At 34.7% G+C, this 24,778-nt stretch overlaps 2 annotated features.

Moving 5' to 3' along the window:
* Nucleotides 22,735-23,278: an enhancer, noted in NCBI's record as "H3K27ac-H3K4me1 hESC enhancer chr14:42848403-42848946 (GRCh37/hg19 assembly coordinates)". NCBI's record gives its function as "activates a minimal SCP1, AML or CMV promoter by ChIP-STARR-seq in naive H9 embryonic stem cells {active_cell/tissue: H9 hESC(naive)}" and the evidence as "EXISTENCE:reporter gene assay evidence [ECO:0000049][PMID:30033119]".
* Nucleotides 23,279-23,822: an enhancer, noted in NCBI's record as "H3K27ac-H3K4me1 hESC enhancer chr14:42847859-42848402 (GRCh37/hg19 assembly coordinates)". NCBI's record gives its function as "activates a minimal SCP1, AML or CMV promoter by ChIP-STARR-seq in naive H9 embryonic stem cells {active_cell/tissue: H9 hESC(naive)}" and the evidence as "EXISTENCE:reporter gene assay evidence [ECO:0000049][PMID:30033119]".

Here is a 24,778-nt window from a genome sequence, read left to right as displayed (position 1 = left end):
AACAATGCCATTCTCAAATAGGTCATTTTGTGACTGGTAATTGCCTCCTCCTATTTATTCATTCTGTCTTGTCTTTCTAAGATTGAGCTTGATTTTCTTTGGGAGACATAGCCAGAAACAATGCTCAACTTAAAAGTCTCCCTTATTATTAGTTATGTCTGTGGCGAATGTAGCTCAAAACAACATATATAAGAGTCATTTCTGATTTCTGATTTCTGGGCAGAGATTCTAGAAAATTCTTAGGTCAAATAAGTAAATTAAAGGTGGTAACACCTCCAGATGCAGCAGAAAATACAAATTATCTCTAGAAACAAAACACAAGTAGTTTCATCAGTTTGAATTTAGTTAAGTATCAGCTAAACATAAAACAAAAGCAACAAAAACCAATACAAACAAAATACAAACACAAAAAGGAGCAAGATTCAACAGAAAAAAAATAAAATTGTCCTTCAGAAACATCAAGTATTAGAATTACAAATAAGGTAAATTGCCACATATGGATTATCCGGATAAATAAAATGGCATTAAAAGTTGACCAAGGAGCAAGATGTTATTAAGCATGACAAGGCAGATTTTTAGAATTTTTTAGAAATAAAAAATACTAGCAATATTATTGAAAACTTATATAGCAAAATAGGCAGAGCCAAAGAGAAAGTTTATAAACTTGAAAATAGATTGGAATATATTAAGCATAATGCAACATAGAAAGATAGGAAGCTAGGAAATACGAACAAACAAAAAATATCTAATGTTAAATGCCAGAAGATAAAGAAAAAAATATTTTTGTTAGTAAAAAATCTTATAATTAGCCCGAATATTTTTCAAATATAAAGGACTGGCCTAAGACTCTGACCTGGGGAAGCCTACAGCCAAAGGAACCTGAGTGGAGCTCCCTTGCCTTATGTCAGGGAAAAGAAAGAAGTCTGTTTTGCAGAGTGCCTGCTTTCCAAAATTTGGAGAAAGATGATGGGCTAGTTTTTCATAGCTAATATGTGAATCCACAGAAGAAGGCTGAACTGGGTTCTTTATGGAAAGGTATTACAAGAATACCTGACTGGATGGGCAAGGTAACCCCATGAGATAGATGAGTCATTGGAAACCAAGGGGCAAAAAGGAAGTTATAAATAAAAGGCTGAGAATTTATCACTATGTGAAGTGAACTTATAATGATAAAAGTTCAATGGAGTAAGACAGTTTCTAAGCAACCCCAAGAGAGAATGAGCCAAAGATCATATATAATTACAGCATCGAAAAACGTACTAACAAGAAGTTAAGGTCACAAATGTCCTGGCTTTCTTTTTACTGCCTCTCTCTGGTAGAGCTCAAACTCTCAAGGGACCTCGAACAGCCATAGTAAGTGGAGGAAAATGTGAACCATCGTCACCTTTCCCACTGCAGGTTTTTCAGATTTAAGGTAAACCTGAATTGGGAAAGTGTGTCAGTTATAAAACAGCTTGGAGTTATGTGGTCATTATATTGGACTAGACTTTTAAATAATTAAGAATAATATGAATAATGTTTTGACAAGGGACAAGGGCTGATAGCAATTAGAGAAAAATAATCAATTGCTTTATTCCTGTACCCTATCTAGTTAATCTAGTTTAATAAACTGGTTATAGTGCACATCACCCACATCATGTTGGACTCCTGTAGGTAGCTGGCAGGACCACACATACAGTGTCAAGGGCAAAGAAGGACAAACTATAAAACCTAAACATTTATCCAAACTTGTTATTTATCTTATTGAAAATTAGTAACCAGCTCAATCACTTATTTAGTGTATGACTACAATATTTCTGCATTAGTTCACACATTACGACTAAACAGAGAATTATGGGCATTTTTTAGTCAATCATTTCCAACTATTTGCTCCAAACTTTATCCTAACCAAATAAAAATAGCTATTATTTAACATGAATAATATCAGTTATTTCTCCAAATCACTTTCAATAATTTTTTGAACTATTTCAACAATTTAGAATTTAAACTTAGTATTTAAAGAAAGATTTTGATTACTTTTTGTTCTAGTTATCGAACTGGTACATGAATGGTAGAAAAATTAGAAAGCACAGAAAAGCAAATAGTTTTCATGTCTTAGTGGCTGTAATCTTACCAACCAGAAATAAGCAATGTTAAAAGTCTTGAAATACATTTTCCTCAAGCTTGGAATGCATTTTTTATATAATGGTATGATACTATTTATCTTTTTTATCTTAACAATATATTGACATTTTCTCATTACTATAGATAATATTTCAGCATGATTTTATACTAGTTTTATAGCACTCTGTTATATTGGTATGCTACAATTATTTAACCAACTCATTTTTGGCCACTTAGGTTTTTTTTACTTGTTCACATATATAAATTCAAATATGATGAAAGACTTCATTATACATCTCTGAAAATCCTGTTTAATAATTAAAATTATTATAGCTCAGAAAAGGCTAGTATTCAGGTTTTAAGATTTGTAAGTAATGTCTGAAGGGTGTTGTTCTTTCCAAATCTCTAAATTGACTTGTACTGCCTAGCTATCACAGTGATATGCAAGTCAAAACTACTGTATTGAATATTTGAGAATATGGAATGCTTTCTGAAATAAACTAATTTACATTTTTAAGACTCCTATCTAGTACCCACAGTAATTCTTAACTAAGTTTAGTTCAGTTTTGCTCTTACACAAGACAATACAATGGAAAGCAACAGATTTTAAAAGCTGAATTATAAGCAAAAAAAACCTGAAATATTTTATATGCCGATTTTCTTCATTTTGCATGACACAAAAATAGTTCTTTGTAATCTCCTCTAAAATGGTTACTTTTAATAATCGTTAAGCAATTTTTTCAAGAAATATTTTTTCCTTCATTTAAAAATTATTTAAATGCAATTTTCTCTGAAAGAAATAACTTTATGAGATCCTGTTACACATATCTACCCTTAGCTATTTTCTTCTTCATCAAGTTTAATTCCAGCAACTCATAAAAGTGCCAATGTAAATGCTTTCCATTGATTCAGGATCCTGAAATAGAATTTTCAGTCTACCTCTTTTACCAATTGAAACTTAAACGAAACCATTCATATTTTATATGCCTTTTTCATATTCTGTTCTTACACAACACTATATCAATATCCCTAAAAATACTTTTATCACTTGGCCATTAGCAAATATTAACAAAGCAACTATTGTAGGGTTAGTGCCATGAGTAAAATTAGTTCTTTTTAGTTCAGCTTCATGTAAGCGTTACAGCAGACAATATTTTGATTCAGTAGTTCTCAAAGTTAGCATGCATAAGGATAAACTTGTTGAAACCCAGATTATGAGCCCCAGTTCCATAGTTTCAGATTCAATTAATCTGGATGCAGCTTGAGAATATGCATTTATAAAAATTTCCCAGTTGATGCAAATGCTACTTTTCCAGTGACTATGCTTTCTAGTTTTCAGGTAAATGAACTAAGGTGTCATGTTATATAGGCTTTAAAGAGAAACCAAAATGATATCATCTATAAAGTCCTTTGCAATTGTAAGTAAACTTCAAGCTCAATTACTCATTTTTATTTAGTGAATACCTATCATTTAAGCAAAGAGAAAAGATGTTTAATTCTCAATAGAGAAAACTCTTTACCATTCAGTATTTAACTTTTCAAATTTAACTTTCCAAATTGACTAATTTGGAAATTAAGGGTTTAATAAAAAATTATTTTGTTGTACTGTAAAGAACGGATTGTTAACTTTTTTTAATATAGGTTGTGTTAATATTTAGCCAATATAAACTTTTAAGTCATCTAAAATACCAGATTCTGGCTATACAACTTATTAGTTGGTTGATGAACAAGTCATTTCAACTTTCAGAGGCTCATATTTCTTATGTATAATGGGAACAATAATATAATAGTAGGAATGACATATTGTAATGATTTGCATCACATAATTGAAATATAATAGATATAATATCATAATAATGCATATTATTTAATATATGTGATAGAATGTCTGCTTAATGGATTGTCCTAAGGAAAAATATATTTACATAAGTGAAACTCTGAAAATAGTGTCTTTACATGGTAAGGTGGGTAGAGAGAATGACCTTAACAGAGGAAAGAGTTATAAGGATGAAAAAAAGCCAAATTTTTATTCAAGAATATGCTTTATGATTTTATTATATAAAGTTCAAAACAAGGTAAATCAAATATATGATATTAAAATGTATATTGTGTTAAATTTTGAGGTGGAGTGGGTAGTGCTTTAGAGTAGCATGGCATGTTTTCATTCTATTTTCCAACCTGGCTAGAGGTTACAATTCTGTTCACATTTTTAGGATAATTCATTGAGCTAAATAGTTACAACTGATGCACTTTTCTGTATGAAGATAATGAACTTTATTTTTATTTTTTTTTTATTGTACTTTAAGTTCTGGGAGACATGTGCAGAACGTGCAGGTTTGTTACGTAGGTATACACTTGCCATGATGGTTTGCTGTACGCATCAACCGGTTATTTACATTAGGTATTTCTCCTAATGCTATCTCTCCCCTAGTCCCCTACCCCCTGACAGGCCCTGGTGTGTGATGTATCCCTCTCTGTGTCCATGTTTTCTCATTGTTCAACTCCCACTTATTAGTGAGACCATGTGGTGTTTGATTTTCTGCTCCTGTGTCAGTTTGCTGAGAACGATGATTTCCACCTTCATCCATGTCCCTGCAAAGGACATGAACTCATCCTTTTTTATGGCTGCATAGTATTCCATGGTGTATATGTGCCACATTTTCTTAATCCAGTCTATCATTGTTGGACATTTGGGTTGGTTCTGAGTCTTTGCTATTGTGAATAGTGCTGCAATAAACATACGTGTGCATGTGTCTTTATAGCAGCATGTTTTATAATCCTTTGGGTATATACCCAGTAATGGGATCACTGAGTCAAATGGTATTTCTGGTTGTAGATCCTTGAAGAGTCGCCACACTGTCTTCCATAATGTTTGAACTAATTTACACTCCCACCTACATTGTAAAAGCATTCCATTTCTCCACATCAACAAATAGTAAATCTCCCACTTTGTAAATTAATTTTAGACTTCAAGTACAAATGGCTCTATTGACATCTCCACATCTTTGCTCCAAACACAAGTATTCAAAAAGTGCTTTTGTTATACTGTCCTTTTTGTTCCATCAATCAACACAACAAATCTGATCTTTCTTGTATTTGCTGTCTCTGCTGGTGACACCATTATCAACAAGTTGTCCCTATCTAAAAGCTTAGGTATCCTCTATTCAATTCTCTTTCTCACCCCCATATTTAATTAGGCACCAAGTTCCCTTGATACTTAACTATCTCTCAGATCATTTTATAATTTGTTTTCTCTCTTGGTCTCCAAACTACATCATTTTGTTTTCTGCCTCCCATTAGCAGACAAAAATCAGCAACAATAAACTACCTAAATTTCCATTCATGTGCCTTTACATATGTTATTTCTCTTTCTAGATGCCTTTCCCTCTTTTATCTACCTGATGGATTTTATTTATCTTCCAATTCTAGTTCAAGCATCATTTCCTCTACATTCTACTTACAAAGAAAATTAATAAGATTTTTTTCTGTTATCTTTGGGGCTTCCATATACTTTTCAAAAATGCAGCAATGGAGGATAATTGCATTTCAGTTCCTTCATGATCTGTTTTTCCTTGGCATCTACTCTCTCTTACCGTGGATATATTGAAAATTTCTAAGTCATAATGCATTTTCTTCACTATTACCACCTTCAAAAAGCATATCTTTGTAGGCTAAAACTGGATTCAACATACTACTTTCCTTTCCTTTATTAATGCTACATGTTTGGGGTTAAATGCAGGATCACAATCTTTATGCAATTCATAAATACATGTATGTATTAATGTATTTTTCCTTTTATATTCTGTTTGTTGACATCTAGTTGAACACCACGTTTGATCATAAGCTATAACCTGACATTTTATACAAAAGAATTCCAGATATATTATTGGGCTGTCTCTCTGAATTCAGACATAAGTATGCTATTTCTTTTCTGTGAGTGCCATTGTTTCTTATAAGGAACGAAAAATTCTGGGATACATTTTCTTTCTTGTAATATGAGGTCCAGTGTATCACTTGGTCAGAAAAATAAGTCAAAACTTCAGTAAACCCCTACAAATATCTGGTAGCTTGAATTTAATTGTTAAAAAGTGCTGCAAATCTTGTACCTTTTCTCCTTCCTGTTAAAATAATATCTTGCATTTGTGTGTTGGAATTTAGAGTTGTGAAACATTTCTACCTACATTGTGATTTTTCCCTCCTCTAAAATATAATCACATTAAAAACACTTGCCAAAGGTGAACATAAACTGTTAGATAAGCTTTTATTAAATTTAATGATGAGTTCCCTCTTTCTTGGAAACCTCTTAAAATTTACTGTATTTCCTGGGGACTTATTATTGCTTCTGAAAATGTGAGTGTCATAACATAGGAGGAGGGAGCTATATCATGTCAACAAAACAATCCATACTTCAATTTTCTGCCTCATCCATTTTCACTGATTGAATTAAGGAAAACACATTTAATAGTGTTTGCCAATTTTGGGGTTGGTTTTGACATGCCCCTTGAATCTGGTTTGTTTTCCCGTAGGAGCAAACTTTTGAAAAAAACAGTCCTTCATTGAATGCATAGCTAGGTTTAGGAATCTTATTTCTTATTAAAACTGATTATCTCTGACCTTAAATTTTCTCTAGTAACATCAAGCTAACCTCTGTTTCTCTTAACTCCATTAACAAAACATTTGAAGTTCTGTGGTTTCCCACTTGCTTGCTCTTTCTTTTATAATTTATTTTTGTGGACCAACTAAAGACATCATTTTTACATTATACAATTATTTTTACAATTTTTTTCACCAACTCTTTCACTGTTAATAAACTTTTTTTTTTCATTTGATTTTCTCTTTTTTCCCCCATGGCTTCTCTGCTATCAGTGGTTCAAATGGAAACGTTCTTTTTTTTATCCATAACTGCAACATAGTCACCTTTATATCTTATCATCCCTCAAGACTATTCCCATTTTCACTTTTCTTTCATACCCATCTCCAGCAATCTTGGCAAGGCTCAAGGATGAGCTTGTCATTTGGGATGAACTAGCTTAATGCAATTAGGGCTACTTTTTCTAAAATAAAAATAAAAACTTGCTAGAGAAGAGAGATTAATCTTTTGTCAGTGCATTAATTATCTAATGCTTCTTAACAATGTTATCACACTTTGGGTGCTTAAAATGAGCCATATGTGTTATCTTGAGTTTCTGTGGGTTGGGATTTCAGCTCAGGCTTACCTTGGTTCTTTGCTTCAGGATCTCACAAAACTGCAGTTAAGGTGTCAGCCAAAGCTGGATTCTTACCTGAGGCTTGACTGTAGAAAAGAACTGCTACTTGCTGAGAAAAGATATCTCTTTCTTCCGGGCTGTTGATCAGAGGCAGTCCTCAGTTCCTTGTCATCTGAACCTCTCCACACAGATGCTGACAATAGCCCAGTTTGCTTCTTCAAATCTAGTGAGGAAGAAAGAGTCTCCTCACAAGATGGGTTACAATTTTATGTACTGTAATCAGGTATACATCACTACTGTACCCCCTCACCTTTGCCATATCCTATAGATTAGAGGCAATTCATGGGTCCTATCAACAGCCAAGAAGAGGGATCTCACAAAAATGTATGAACACCAGGAGGTAGAGATTAGGGAGGTTACTTTGAGATTATCTACCACAATGGATATTAGATTCTGGATATTAGAGAGTTTTGTTTTGTTTTGTTTTTGGTTATTTATATATATTTTTTTCCTCCTTGAATGTGTTCATATGTCTGGTGAGAAGAATAATGACTAACAGAAGTAGTCCGGGAATTCAGGAGCAATACCTGGCCATATGGATAGGGGCTTGCTCATTTTCCATCAGGAGAATTCAGAACATAAGAGGTTTGATAAGCTTGAAGGGACACCACTATTTTGGTGCTTCATGGCTTAAAGAGTGAGAGAAAGTGAAACAATTCCTGATGTTTATATACAAGGAAACAAAACATTAGCTGAGGAGCAGTTGTGGGGCTTGCTAGGCATTTGGGAAGACAGCATTAAATATTAATATATCCAGAAGGAGACGGAATATTTATTTATGCCCATAGCTTAAGAAAAACACAGGTGCCTTTAGGAGATCCTCCAGCACAGGATGTGTGTAAAAGTGAATGCTGAAAACATATTTATTCCACAAAGATGCTCCCAGCTACAGAGTTCACCTGTTGAATTAGATGAAAAGCAAAGACATTTTCATTCTACCCCAAAGCACTGCTGGTACTGTAGCCAGTGTCATCAACATGGACACAGAGTAGGTAATGACATCAGCAGTTGGAGAAGCAAAGAAATGCCCTGGACAAGTCATGCAGAGTCATTTTTCTACTAATCAACCATCACCCATTTAAGAAGTGTCTTTATGGCCGGGCGCGGTGGCTTACGCCTGTAATCCCGGCACTTTGGGAGGCCGAGGAGGGTGGATCACGAGGTCAGGAGATCGAGACTATCCTGGCTAACAAGGTGAAACCCGGTCTCTACTAAAAATACAAAAAATTAGCCTAGCGTGGTGGCGGGCGCCTGTGGTCCCAGCTACTCAGGAGGCTGAGGCAGGAGAATGGCATGAACCCAGGAGGCGGAGCTTGCAGTGAGCCGAGATCGCACCACTGCACTCCAGCCTGGGGGACAGAACGAGACTCTGTCTCAAAAAAAAAAAAAAGAAGAAGTGTCTTTATTACCGCCATTGCAAGAATCCATCTAGGAGTTAAGAGTCAGGCAGGAGGAATCATGAAAAGAGGAAACACTTGGAATAATGGAAGGTAAGAGTGCGGTGGCTCACGCCTGTAATCCCAGCACTTTGGGAGGCCAAGGCTGGCGGATCACAAGGTCAGGAGATCGAGACCATCCTGGCTAACACGGTGAAACCCTGTCTCTACTAAAAATACAAAAAAAAAATTAGCCGTGCGTGGTGGCGGGCGCCTATAGTCCCAGCTACTCGGGGAGCTGAGGCAGGAGAATGGCATGAACCTGGGAGGGCGCCACTGCACTCCAGCCTGGGTGAAAGAGCGAGACTCTGTCTCAAAAAAAAAAAAAAAAAAAAAAAAAAAAAAGAGTGTAAGTTGATGACAATTATTGCACTTGACTGAAGAGTTGTCAAATACAATTCTAATAAGCATATTGGTTTAAAATCACTGTACTAGTGATATTAGTACATAATGATATTAAATTGCATTTAATCCCCCCCCCCCCCCCCACTTATCAGAAATCAATCCTGGAGCATTTTAAGGAATTATATATGGATTTTTTAAAATAAAGCAATCTTCATAGTGACTCATATTTGAGTAATGCTTTTTGATCAAGTCTAATACAAATCTCTGACTTTTGAAATGGATCAGAGCAAGCTTTTTTTGGTCATTCATCAGTCTTCTGATCCATTTTCAATGCAATAAATATGCTGATGTAGAAATCTCTTTGGTAGCCCCTTTCACCAAAGGTCGGTGCTTATGGATGAGGCATATTCACTTGACTCTTCACTCTGTATATTTATCGCTGCTGTCATGTCACTAAATATACTGTGATAGCTTTTCTTTACTCCAGAGTAGAGAGTGATTAATAAGTTATTATAAACATCCTTATTATATTCAGCCTTATTTCATATTTCTATAATCATACTGGAAATATCATGAATAGCAATGAAGTCGATTCCTCTAAGTAAGAAGCTGTCATCTGCAATAACAACAAAATTTTAAATAGGTGAAGACACTTTACTCCTACCCTGCTTAATAATATTAACACCAACGCAGATAGTCACTGAAAGAAAAAGAAATCCCATATTTGTTGATTGAATTGCATTCCTTCTAATGCTTCTTTTAAACATGTGAATACATTTTTGCAATTTTCAGTGTGCTCTTTCATACCCTAACACCTATCAAAGGCATCTTTATTAATAATTTATTTTTAATTGACAAATAATTATGTTTATTTCTAGGGTACAATGTGATGTTTTCATCTATGTATACAATATAGACAGATTTATTCAAGTTAATAAACATATTTGTCACATCACCAATGTATCATTTTTTTGTGGTGAAGACATTAAAAATCTATTTTCTTAGCAATTTTGAAATATAGAATACATTTTTACTAACTGGTCAAGGTGAACTGCAACAGATCACTATAACTTACCCTCCAGTCTAGTTGAAATTTTATACTCTTTGATCAACATTTCTTTCTACATTTTTCACATCCCCTGTCCCGGCCCTGGCCCCAGACTGTGGTAACTACTTTTCTACTCTGTTTTTATGAGATCTGCTTTTTTAGAGTCCACATGTAATTGTGATCATACAATATTTGTCTTTCTGTGGGTGGCTTATTTCACTTATCATAATGCTCTTCAGATCCACGTCGTCATGAATGACAGAATTTTCTTATTTTTTAATGCTGTACAGTATGCCATTGTGTATACATATCACATATTCTTTATCTAGTTATCTGTTCATGAGTATTTAGGTTGCTTCCATATTTTGGCTATTGCAAATAATGCTGAGATAAACATGAGAGTACAGATATTTATTCTACACAGACCATGTTCAATTTTTTGGGATATATACTCAGAGGGGGTTGATGAAACATATGGCAATTCTATTTTTAGTTTTATTGAAGAGCCTCCATACTATTTTTTGAAATGCCTCTGCCAATTTACAGTTCTGTCAACAGTTAATAAGGTTTCTCTTTACTCCAAGTCCTTGCCAACTTGTTATCATTCACCTTTTCGAAAATAGCTATTCTAACAGATGTGAGATATATCTCATTGTGGTTTAGATTTGCATTTCTCTGATTACTAGAAATGTTGAAAGTATTCTTAACGCCCTTCAAGACATTCAAGAATCCAGCACAGCCATTTCCTCTGAGTTGCCTTTAGTTGTTCTGATGATTTATCTGGTTTTCCTGTGTTTGTATTTTTTTCCTCACTGCATTGTCTTTTTTATGTCTTTGGTTAGAAGAGAATCAGCAAGTAAACCATACTGTTACTAGGCAGATTAGCTTTCCGCCCATTCTATGTTTTCTACCTTTTCAGACACTGAAATATTCACACTTCCAGCTCTTTCCATATGTTACCACTTAGCTTCAAGTTCACTGCTATATTATGTGCCTATAGCTTCTTCAGAAAAATGAGTCCCAGGCTCTGGAGTACAGATTTTGCTGATTTTTTTTTCTCAACTTTTCCTCCTCACTTCTTTTATACTTTTTCTTTTCAATATTTTCTTTTTTTCAATATCTCAATTTAAGTATTCTTTATTTTTATTTCTGTTATTGATCTTCTTTTTCCCTTTCTCTCACAGATGGTAGTATTGCACCTAAGTCTTTCCAACAAATAACAGTACAGTTTCTTCCACTATTTTATGCTAGGACAATTTAGGTCTAAGAAAAGTTATTTAATTTATAATGTGTCTAGAAAAGTTATTTAATTTAAAATGTGTCTTAACTAGCAGGACCAGGTGCAAATCATAAATTTTGAAATCCTCAGTTTCATTCAATTTCAATTTGTCAGTTCTACTTCCTTCTTCATTATACTTCACAGCACTCCTGTGAGAAAGCTGAATTACAAGCAATAAGAGGGCCATTTTCCAGACAGAGGATTTGAAGCAAAGTAGTTAATTGACCTGTGAGTGGAGAAACCACAGAGAATATAATATTCAATCAAGCAAGCCGCATCATCATAGCAGGCCAGAATGAGTCTTGATTAATGAGAAAAATGTAATAAATTCTACAGCAATAGCTTCATTAATTCATAAAAAGTAAAGGTTTTTGAAATGTTTAAAAATATAAAATATTGAAAAGAAATTATGTTCAATTATTTATAATTTACAGTTATTTAAACTATAACATAGTTTACAAGTTCTGTTAGGCCTGCTTTAAGTATTTGGGATACAAATATAGGTTCATATCCAAGTTGCCACTAAGCATAAGACATTAAGCAACTTAATATTACCAAACACATATTAACACAATTTTAAGTTAATGCAGTTTAAATAAGTGCATACATAACTGAATATATCATTTTAAGTATACATGTACATGCCATTCAAATACAATGAGACAGATTAATGTTGGCCTTTTTTGGTATGTATTATAGAATTGCAATATTTTACAGGGGTTCTGAGAAACAAAGGCCATAACAAAGCAAGGTGCTTTCAAAGGTACATATATTGTGTCCCTTTTGTATAAAACAAATCACTCATAGGGCTCCTTTCCATTCTCACTGCCCTAAATAATTCACTTACTAGAATCAATTTGTGTCAACTAAAAATAATTAAGTATATAAAGTAATTCTAGTACCTCCCTGTGCTTGCTCCTCTCACGCTCCACACTGGTCCCAGATTATGGCCCTAAAGTTTGTGACTGATTTAGTTTCTGACATATAAAACCATTTAATGACTTGTCACACGCAGAATAAAATGAAACTTCCAAGCAGAATATAAAAGCCCCATCACAATCTATTCTCACATTGTTCCTTCCTCAACTCCCATTATAACATAATATACCTTAATAAAACAAGACAAACACATTCAAATTTTATAGTCTGGTGCATTTATTTAGCTTCATGCATATAATAAGTAGCAGGAACAACAGAAATTTCCATTCCTTAGCAAAGTCGGAATGCATTTTTAAAACAGTGATATCAACTTAAAAAGTATTTTCCCCAATTCCTTCAAAATTGTACCAATCCTTTCAAATTCAGTTCACAATATAACTAATTTTTTTGATGACCATCTAAGTGCCTAAAATTACAACCGTTTCTTAATGCTTAAGATAAATCTTTGTCAGTCACACATAGAAATACCTATGACCTGCTTAAGTAATTCTTTATGTATTTTATAACATGGTTGAACATAATTGTCCATCTCTTACATTCCCTTCTCCAAAGTCTATTTATTCTTTTTTATAGCAGAAACAGTCTACTTATACTGGACAAAAGTCTAAGTAATTGTTACGGTCACTAATCTCATAACCATCAAATTCATTTCTACTTTGAGGAACAGTTCAAGTTGACTTATTGCTGTGTCTAAGTAATTAAGAACTAAAGAAGTTGAGAATTTGATGAGTGTTCCAGTGTAATCCAAGCATTACAATAGAAACAACTCTGAGTATTTTTTAAAAATCAGAAATTTAATTCAGGAAATTGGTCTCAGAGGATGAGAGGCTTCTAATGTAAAAGAACTAGACACTGAAAACTACAAACTAAAACTAAAAGACATTAAATCTGATGTAAATAATTGGAGAAATATACCATGTTGATGATCAGAAGAGTTAAAATATCAGTCCTTCCAAAATTGATCTACCCCTTCAGTAAAATCACAGTCCAAGCAGGCTTTTCTATAGAAATAAGCAAACTGATTCTAATAACCATAGATAAATTGGAAAATCCTAGAAGGAACAAAGCAAATATGAAAAATAAGAGAGAAATAGGGGAGCCAATACTTTTTTATTTTCATTTTACATTTTAATACAGGGTGTTTTGGCATGATTGTAGTGAAATAAATCAAAGACCAACCAAATATAATAAATAGATACAGATTTGACAGACATTTATCCAGATGGAAAATAAGCATATGAACATATGTTCAACACAATTAGTCATGACAGAAAATGTATGTTTCCGGAGAAAACTATAGTACACCTATTTTAGATACCAGCCTTGTTCATTGTTTTTAAGTTTCTATTATTTGCCTACAATTCAGATTGAATCCTGAATTCTTCCCTGGCTAAAAGTCTCCTAACAAACGTTTCCAAATTTTTCCTTCCATATTATTTTTGACATGGGCTCACTGAAAATAAATGCCAAATTCCTGAGGCCCTACAATGTGAAGCTAGTCAACTTGGCTTCGAAGAAAAATCACTGCTACAGCTTATATTTGGACAAACTTTACACACAGACTACAATCTAGGAAAATCTGTTAGATGGCCATGGATGTTTTCAGCTGACTGCCCTGCAGACTCTAGAGGACTAGCTTGTAGATGGCTCCATAAATTGACCTTTGTTCTTCCTCTGTTTTCATAGAAATGCCTCTTATTAAATCTGTGTGCCTGCATAATATTTAGAAGCCTAGCTTTTAGGGACCTTCTGCAACATCATCTCCTGAAACAAGACCTACTATTTAAATTGAATTGGCCTATGCCCAGAAGTGAGAGACTGGTTTAATGAGGTCCTTTACTATTTAGTTATTAGATTAACTCAGTTATTATTTTTCCACAACCACCACCTTAGCCTCTAGTATGTGAAAACTTCTTGGGAAATGTTAGGGCTCAGGGACTGATGCCCCAAGATATGGCACTTTACCTGCTGATCTGAAGAAGGAGTCTCAAGTTCTCCCTGACCTTTCCCCATCCTCTCAATCCTATGTCTCTTACAAAGCACAGGATGAAGTTGTTCTCTGACTTTTCCTTATCTGCCTAAAGAAGAAAACATGTATCTCTGGCCCTTTCTCTGAGTTTTCATTAACTGAACTCGTATTGCAGAAAGAAAAACTGAAGCCAGTCAACACACCTGGACAGATTTGTCACAAACCATTATCTGCCCTGCGGGCCCAACAGACTTTGTCCCAGCACGTTGTGTGAACTACAAGCCCATTAAATTCCCCTAAAATTATTTATGTTTCCCCCAAAATTATCCACACTTCCCCATCTCCCATTCTCCTAAAAAGAAGGGCATATAAACATCTGTATCCCTTTGAGTGGTGGAGTAATCACTTGTGATTTTCCCCACCATGCATGTTAATAAATTTGTATGCCTTTTTATCCAATTAATATGCCTTTGTCAGTTGATTTTCAGTGAACCTTCAGAGGCCTATGAGGAATTTTCCGTTCACTCATGTATAACATAAAGGTCTATTTTGGCACCATTAGCAAGCCAGAGCAATGAGCAGACCAGGGGGAGAATGGAACAGACAGACATTCAAAGAAACAAATGGATTGCATCCATTCTTTAACATAGAAAATAAAATAATATGCAGGCTTTCTTTTGCTGGATTTCTGTCAATGTGTAGTGTTAAAGAGTTGTTAGTTTCCTAACAAATAAATCATTTTTGTTTTAAGCACTAAGGATGTAATCCTTACTCCTTAACATGGAAAAAATATGCTACAAGTTATCAAGCTTGCTTTAGTGCAGGCCATAATATTGATTGAATAAACATATGATAATTGTTTCCCTTATATTGAAAAAAAAATATTCTTTTTTCTCTTCTTGCTTCTCATTTCTTTTTCAACAATTTATATAAACTGTCCATTTCTTAGTAGCAGTGTTTAATGAATATTTCTTCCAGAAGCTGATGGAACTTAGACAAAAAATTATCTCTGATTCAAACAGAAAATAAAGTTTATTTCTTCCATGCAATATTCTGTCTTCACAAAATTTGATTTTATCGAACGGTGCTAAACTTTATAAATACAATACTTAAAATACAATTACAAGCTTAATAAGTCAAACTGAAGGTTTAATGTTCATCTAAAGAAAGAAAAATATGTTAAGCATCACTATATACTACATTTAAATGTTTCTGATCTTTTAAAAACATTTATATAGTATGTATTCATAGCCCTGAAATTAGATTCTTTTGCAAGAGTTTGTCTTGATCTCTTGTCATAAATGAAACTTAGGTAAACATACTTTTTATAATGCTGGTGTGAAAAACAATTTTGCTGTCTTCAGAAAGATTGCTTGTTTGCATGATCATGGATGAGGTGAGTGAAAGAAGGAGATAGGAGCTAGGTCAGCCAGTTTTTCCGTATGTATTATAATTTTCACAATGTTTTTTTAAGTTATAAAATACATTTATCTTAATGCAAGACCACAGAATATTTCAGACATGTTTTCTATAATCGGATATTTTATATTCAACAAAAGAAAAATGCAGACATTTCTGGTATGAACACAATCTTAAGGTCCTAGTTAGACTAAATAAATTCAAGCTGTAAACCATAGAATATGACTGTCAAGCTGTGTCTAATAAAAAGCATAAAACTTGATAATTATACTTTGAAGAAAATATAGTGAAAATGAGTAAATTTCAGATCAAATAATAAATTTTAATTACTGGAATTTTCATGTATGGGAACACTAAGGGATAAGGTAAATCTCTCTGAAATTATAAAAGTTGTATTGATAGCTATTTGTGAAGTACCTGCATTTGACTCTAAACATCCACCTTCCAAATTGTTTTATGACTGTTGTTAATATTACTCTTACTACCCATATAAACATGCAAAACAATCAAGATCTACTGTATTGAGCTGTGGTTTTCATAAAGGATAATCAATCTTATTCAAATTTGCAAGTACTCAATGGATTAAAAGATATTTGCTAAATCTCATGAACATTTTGCTAGACTTAGCTCAAAGACATTAGAGATAGTGTCCTATGGAGCTTTTAAATTAAATATCAATTATTTTATAAATTATTGATTATGGGCTAGATGAGGTTTATCACCATGAATTCAGTTTCATTGATAGATTGACTCAAATAATTTTTTTTAATACCCAGAGACCTGGACATAAAAAATGGAAAGACAAACATGATAAATTGATGGTTGTTTTTTTCTCAGCAGGTGTGAGAAAGGACAAAGAGATAATATAGGTTGGGGACATTCACACCACCAAAAATAAATTTTTGTTATTTGGGTTTAAGTCTACTCAGGGAAGAAATTAAATACAAGAAGGGTCCTTTACATTGGGAGAAAATCAAGGGATCAACTAAGTAGTCGTTTATGGATGGTCAAATAATAAGTGCAATTGGAGGTTGTTAATAAAGCAGTGTAGACACAGTTTAGAGATGAAGCAACTGTTGTTGATGTTATGTAGAGAATAATATGGTTGTGTATTTAAGTAGCTGAAATAAAGTACAACTGAAATGTTTTGGATTAAGGAGGTCAGAAAATAAAATGTACTATGCTGTAGAAGTCCCTGTAAGGACATGCAAATCAATAGGGACAGTGTTAGATGTTATGACTTGAGATAGAGAAGTATAATTATTCCACAAATCGAAATCTTCCACATATATGAAACATTTTTTCAAACAAAACAACAAAAATGCATCACCAAATTTCATATGCCATGAATGAGAAAGGAGGTTTTGCAAGAATATGACATATAGATGTCTTGAAGACACCTCTGGAAATCTAGATGAATGTACTCTCTGCTCCCTTGCCTTCGTAAGAAACAAGAGATTTATCCTTGAGAAGACTGAGGGAGAAGTTGAGAGCCAGGTGAAGAAAAGGAAGATTTGGAGTGATTAAGGTACACCAATTATGATTTCCTCTTAAACAAAAGGTTCATAAAGTATAAAAATGTAGGGGTAAAATAAAGGAGTAGTAACTATGATGAAAAAAGAACAAAATAGGAAAAATTAAAGATGAGAGTACAGTAGGGAATATACAGACTGAAAGTAATGTTTAAGTTTTCTGAAGTAATGAAAACATTGGCTTTAAGCTGGCTTCTACTAGCCTAGGGGTAAAGAGAATTTTCTTCCCTCCCACTTCTGAAGTTTTGATGATTTTAGCCTATAAAACAAATGGGAAATGAACAAATTAGTAGGAAAAAAGGCATACTTTTTTTTTTTTTTTTTTTAAGAAACAGGGTCTCACTATGTTGCTGAAGCTGGTCTCGAACTCCTTGGCTCAAGTGATCCTTTTGCATAGGCCTCCCAAAATGCTGGGATTGCAGCTGTGAGCCACCTTGTCAGCCCTATCCAAATTCATTAATGTGCACATAGACATGGGAGTTCCACAAATTTGAGACTCATAAAAGGGCCAAATGACTGAAGTTTTATACCAAACAAAAAGGAAAAAAGGCTTTGGACTTGAAAACAACCAAAGAGAGTGGTAGAAGAAAAGCTATGGTAAGCAAAATCTGTCTTGTTAAAAGATAAAATCTATTAAGTAGCAGCTCTCAGAAAGAATAGGTGGTAATCCGTGGTCAAAATTTTGGAGTCAGATTTGTAGTATCTTTTTACTGTGAGTTAATCTTTCTGAGATCTGAGTGAGTCAGGTAAGCGCGGCTGGGGCTCAGAAAAAGCATTTGCATTGCTGTTTAATTCACTTATGAAGATTCCATCTACAGATGTAAATCAGCACCATAACGAAAAGCATTTTAGAGCTCTTCTTGTGTATGCAGGACTTCTGAAGAGCCATCTTGAAACATGCCAAAGAAGTATATTTTGGGTGTCATATTTTGATTTTCTTCACCATAATTCCAAAGAGTCATATTCCATAAGGCAAATCTACCTATGCCCTTATTTACAAGTATTTTAAAGCCTTCTACAGGTCTCAGGATCACATCTAAACTCCTACATCTCTTTAGTATGACCTAAAATGATATTCTTTGAATAGTTTTTCAATATGCAGTATGCCAACACACCGCATACTCCAGTCATATCAAAACTATTGCTTCTGTTGTGTTTTTGATGGAATGTGTGTACTCTTTATCTTCTTGAACAATTTTCACCCAAGCTATAAGTCTTAGCTTTTGTTTCTTCTGTGAAGGTCATTCAGGATTGTCTCACTTAGAGATATAATTCCCCATGAATCTCTTATGTTTGTTCATGTCTATAAATTAATAATTATTTGTTCAGATTCACTTAAATTCCAGATAGATAACAATTCAATTTCTAGATATATTTAGGGGTAGTATTCATAAAGATCTTTCCCTTTCTCTGTCAAATTTTGCTTAAAATCTAGGGTAGTAAAGATAATGCTTCTCTCCAGAAAGAGGATAGGCACGTTTTCCAGAAGCCCTTTTATAAGGTTCAGGGTTTCCTAAACTGGGTGATCCTTGGCTTTGACAAAAACCCATGGTGAGCCCAAGTCTGTCTCTGCCTTGCCTGAATGGAACTTGGCAGCTAGGAGAATCAATGCAAGCAAAAAACTGATGCTGCCTGCTGTGCCTTAAGTAAAAGTAATAAACTATCTAAATCCATATCTAGGCACATTGTGCCTAACAAGTCAAAGCTATGGAAATGTGACAAGATTTTATATATGTATGACTCCAAAAATTTTATGAAAAATAGAATTAAAAGATAAAACTAAAAATGTGTTTCATCTCTCAACATTAGCTCCATCACATTCAAAACACTTTTGTATGTAATGATGCCAGCCATTTAGTCCATCCTTAAAGAACTGAGGGTTCTGGGAATTTAATCATGTCAATGCAGTCTTTTTACATTAACTGAAGAAAAATGAATGCCCTTTAAATATTTTTTTAAGATTAGAAAACAATGAATTCAGAAAGAGCCAAATCAGGAATGTAAAGTGGATGCCTATGAATTCAGAAAGAGCCAAATCAGGAATGTAAAGTGGATGCCTAATTATTTTCCATCAAAACTCTGCAAAATTGCCCTTGTTTGATGAGAGGAATGAGAAGCAGGCTGGTCATGTTGAAGACTCTAGTGAATCTTTTCCAGGCAGTTTTCTGCTAAAACTTTGACTGACTTTCTCAAATTATTATCATAATAAACAGATGTTATATTCTTTAGCCCTGAAGAAAGACAAGTAAAATGCCTTGAGCATCCATCAAAATGATTGCCATGACCATTTACTCTGGACTGGTCTACTTTTGCTTTGACCGGACCATCTCCACTTCTAGGTAGCCATTGCTGACAATGATTGGGCTTTATCTCCTGATCACACTGTTAAAGCTGTTACATCTCCTGTTACAATTATTCCAAGAAATGCTTTAGGATGTTGATCCCACTTTTAAAATTTTCGTTGAAACCTCTGCTTTTGTCTACAGCTCCTCTGGGCACAATGGTTTTGGCACCTATTGAGTGGAAGCTTTGCTCAACTTAAATTTTTCAGTCTTGCCTGTGTAAGCTGAACCGATTTAAATGTCTATGATGTTGGCTATTGTTTCTGCTGTTAATCATTAGTCCTCTTCAACTAGCGCACAAACAAGATTAATTTTTTTCTCGCAAATTCATGTAGATGAATTTGAGATGTAGATTATGAAACCTGCTTCAGGTTTCATATTCAACATCATCTCATTTCTTCTTAAAAGAAGTTATGTATTTGTAAACTGTTGATTTCCTTGGAGCATGGTCTGCATCAAGTTTTCACACAGCTGCAATGATATTACCATTCTTCCCCTTAACGTCACCATAAGTTTAATATTTGTTGCTTTAATTTTAGTAATTTTCATTTCTCTCATAAGGGATCTTTTCAAACTAGTGTCTTATTCTTCTTAGTGCCTCAAACTAGATCCTATTCAGAAAGTAATAACAAATTTATTTTGTTGCACAAAATAACATGCATAATTTTTCATATACATATATTTTTATTGAACTTTTTGAATATCCCTCTCTCTCTTCCTCTCTCTCAATCCCTCAATATATATTTATAGATAGATAAATAGATATATATTCAAATATTAGATAAATATATATTGAAAAAGAAAGAGAGACAGAGTGAGATACAGAGACAGAGTGATAACCAGAGTTAGAGAAAACTGGAGAACCTTAACTAAAGGTCTGTATTAGTCCGTTCTTGCATTGCTACAAAGAAATACCTGAGACTGGATAATTTATAAGGAAAACAGGTTTAATTGGCTGATGGTTCTGCAGCCTGTACAAGAAGTATAACAGCTTCTGTCTCTGGGGAGTCCTCAGGAAACTTACAATCATGGTGGAAGGTGAAAGAGAAACAGGCATGTCTTACATGGCCGGAGCAGGAGGAAGAAAGACAGGGGAGAGGTGCTACACAGTTTTAAACAACTAGCTCTTTTGAGAATTCACTATACAGTACCAAGGAGGGATGATGCTAAACCATTTATGACAACTCTGTCCCTATGATCCAACCACCTCCCACCAGGCCCCACCTCCAACACTGGGGATTATATTTCAGCCTGAGATTTGAGTGGAGACACAGATCCCAACCATATCAAGATCCAAAAATTACTTTGGACAAAATGACAATTGGATCTAAATCAAGTATTTTTAGAATGAGATTCAAGACCACATTGGTCCAACTCGAAACTTGTGATATCACCTCCTCTGCCTCTTAATAAGATATTGAAGGTGTTGGTCAATGCCAAAAACTCTAAAATATCAGTAAGAAATGGAATGTTAAGATAAATTTAATAATGTTTCAAATTTATTTAGAATGTATTTCAAGTGAGTAATGTTTGTACTAATACAAGTAATAATGTTGATTAAGAATTCCCCAATTAGCTAATAAAAGCAAGCTGCATTATTCACTTCCTTATTCATAAACTTGTCAGTATCACTCAAGGTCTTCAGAGACATAAAACATTATGAATCAATATCAAAGTTTAAGATAAATAGGCATCACATAGTCACCTCACAAAAATATCAGCAACCCCTAAGGTATCAGTGTTTTTTGAGATTTTTACAGAAAGATAGTGTAGAAATAGAAAGAATTCTATCATCAGTGTTAATGTGTAGTCTACTAACATGTTAACATGCTATTTTTATAGAAATAGGTAAGATTGCACTTTTTCCCCAACATCTACAAAAAAATTAAAGCAAAGAATAGAGAATAATGCTATTTTCACAGTTTACATCATTCTAGTTCGATATTTCTGTGCTCACAGATGGTTGCTTTATATATCTGGATGTGGAATTAAGTAAGAATGAATTCCAAGGTAACAGAAGGGGTTGTCATTAACATTTCAAACAGTTGTTAAGTTGCCTAAAGATATTTTAGTGCTTTTCCTAATATTTTCACAATCAGATTTGCCCTCAAGTTTTTATCACTAGTATTGAAAACAAACTAATTTCAAAGGTGATAACTAAAACACTCAGTCTTACTTTTTATTTATTTTCTTTCTTTTTTAATTTTTTTTAAATTTTATTTTAAGTGCTAAGGTACTAGTGCAAAACGTGCAGTTTTGTTACATAGGTATACATGTGCCATGGTGGTTTGCTGCACCCATCAACCTGTCACCTGCATTAGGTATTTCTCCTAATGCTATATCCCTCCCCCAGACCCCCACCCACCAACAGGCCCCGGTGTGTGATATTCCCCTCCCTGTGTCCATGCGTTCTCATTGTTCAGCTCCCACTTAGGAGTGAGAACATGCGGTGTTTAGTTTTCTGTTCTTGTCTTAGTTTGCTGAGAATGATGGTTTCCAGCTTCATCCATGTCCCTGCAAAGATGGTTGATTTGACTTGAAAGATTCACTGAATGTTTTTGGAGAGGAGAGCTTAGGGAACTAAGTTTCTAGAGTGGCATATAATAAAAAGTTTTAAAATTATAATATATTATCTATGTAAAAGTGGTCATATTTTATCACTGTTTATGATTTGTAATTAAATGTGGTGCTTTGAAAGAATTGGTCATGGTGATCTTCAAGACATTTTGCTCTAGGTAACAATACTTTCTACCATTTGCTCAGTTCCTCAGTAAATTAATATTTGCAAAAGTAAATGTGTATATGTTTAAATGTCTTGCCTTGTATACTGCATAAATGAAAGAGAATCAAATGTGTAATGATCTGTCTCTAACTTCTGCTAAAACATATACTTTTTGGGAATGTATAAGGAGGAATTATGGGTGCCCAATCAACAAGTATCAGTTTTACTGACATCTCCAAAATGTTTTTCTGAGTGATAAGTCTGAGTACTCATGGAAATATACAAGAATGGCTTTCTCTATCAAACTTAAATGGTCAACCCAGAGGTGACTTCCAGGTTTTAGTATATTAAAACATGATATATAATTATTGGCTATGGAAAAAAGGATGAAATTATTTTGTATGACTCACTAAAGCAAATCATTAGAAACTTGCAGTGGGGTGCATGTTAGCCAGGTGCAGCAGGGTGTTAGCAGGTACCAGAGTGCCTGCCTCCATGAGGGCATTTTCTACAGTGGTGGAGGCAGCATAGCTTAGCAGGGCAGAGGTCACCTGCTGGCAACAGCTCATGCAGTCACACTGGTTGTGGTGTTACTACAGGGGTAGGACAGTGGGAAGCACGCTTCTGTGTGTTTTCTCTTTTTGCCACAGGTAGGCGTGGTCGCTCAGGAGAGGGGAGGGTTGGCTGCCCTTTGTGCCCAGTTTCACTCTTGCAGCAGTGTTGGCACAAGGGTGGGGTACTGGTGGGTGCAGGGCTGACTGGCTCTGTGCCCACCAAGGCTCTGACTGCAATAGTGGTCTGGTTGGAGGAGAATGGGTGAGTGCATTCCCATCACAGTAGTGGCAGGTCAGAGTGCACACACACACATGTGCGCTGGCAGGACAAGGAAGGCAAACCTCACCTGTGCATTCATGCACCAGTAAAGCAATGTGGGGCTTTGCCATGGGCCCAGGGAAAGCTTCAGTGTGGGGAGGGAGTGGGTAGGCTGGTGCGTGGCAGTGGGGGCTACCCTGCTGGAGCTTTCTGCCAGTCAAGCATAGTCTACCAGCACAGAAGCTGTCATGCATGCCCCCAGGGCATCTGAGGCTACCCTGTAAGAAGGCGTGGCTAGGCTGGGGTCCTGAGAGAAGCCAGTAGACCAACGGGTGCTCTGGATGGGTCAAACCACCCTGCTGAGTTCAGGTCCCACAATTCCCCTAGGGCTAAAATATTACGGGAGCAAGTGAACCCTATGGGGTAGGGCGTCCCTGGCCATGTTCCACTACAGGTGTTCTCACAGCAAACCTTCTGGGCTACACATCAGCTGCCTTCTGTCCCTACCACTTCTCTAAGCAACTCTGCTTGCCAACTAGAGTGCCCATGATAGTCAAGGGGTATCCTTCTGCCAGGATTCCAGGGACCTGTGTTGAGAGCAGGTTATTTCTTATCAGTGCAACTCACCTGTTCCCCTGGAGTCACTGGGGACCAGGAACAAATCCTGTTTCAAGATAACCCTATGTAGTGTTCCCGGATTCCTCCCCATCAGCCTATCTCTGTGTCTTCCCTCCATCCACTCTCAATGCCTTCTCTCTGAAGGCCTGCTCGGAGTGTGCTAGTCATCTCTGCCTCTTGGTGGCAGCTGTTCCACCTGGCTGCATCTAGTAAGCCATCTTCCCCCATCACCAGGGGGGTTCTTCATTAAAGAGGTAATGTGGAATTAAGTTAAAAACTAATAAATATATTTAAAAAACTAATATTAAAAGACAACACTGGAAATTAGAAAACGGATTAAAATGAATAACATTAAATATATATCAAAGCTTATAAGATATAGCTAAAGCTAATTTCACAGTGAAGTTTACAGCATTAAAGGAATATATTAGAAAAGAATGCTGAAAATCATTATTACAAATGTGCATCTCAATACATTAGTAACCAACTGACAAATTATAAACAAAAAAATTAGAATACTATAAAAAAGAAGAAACTAATAAAGTTGAAATCAATTGTCTAATAGAGAAGACCATATTAGCTACAACTGTATCTTTAAAAATTAAAAAAAAAAAACTCTGTTAACACTAGGCAACAATCAAAAGAAAGAACAAATTTCTCATATAATTAATGAAAAAGGGATATCACATTAGATTCCAGAGTAATTAAAGTCATAATAAAAAGGTATTTTTAACTAACTTGATGCCAATTTATTTTAAAATTTATAAAATACAAATTTCCAAAGTGACTTAAGAATAATGTAAAATCTGATGGGTCATATATGCCATAAATAAAATAAATGAAATCTGTAGAAAAAGAACTTATGTTAACTCATTATGGGAATCACTAGTCACTAGGATTTCACTAGTTACTTATTCAAAAGAGTATAGATAATAGAAAATGAAAG

Source organism: Homo sapiens, chromosome 14 (assembly GCF_000001405.40).
Source record: "Homo sapiens chromosome 14, GRCh38.p14 Primary Assembly".
Classification (NCBI taxonomy): Eukaryota; Metazoa; Chordata; class Mammalia; order Primates; family Hominidae; genus Homo; species Homo sapiens.
Note: the sequence above shows the minus strand (reverse complement) of the source record. Positions and strands in the feature narration are given on the sequence as shown.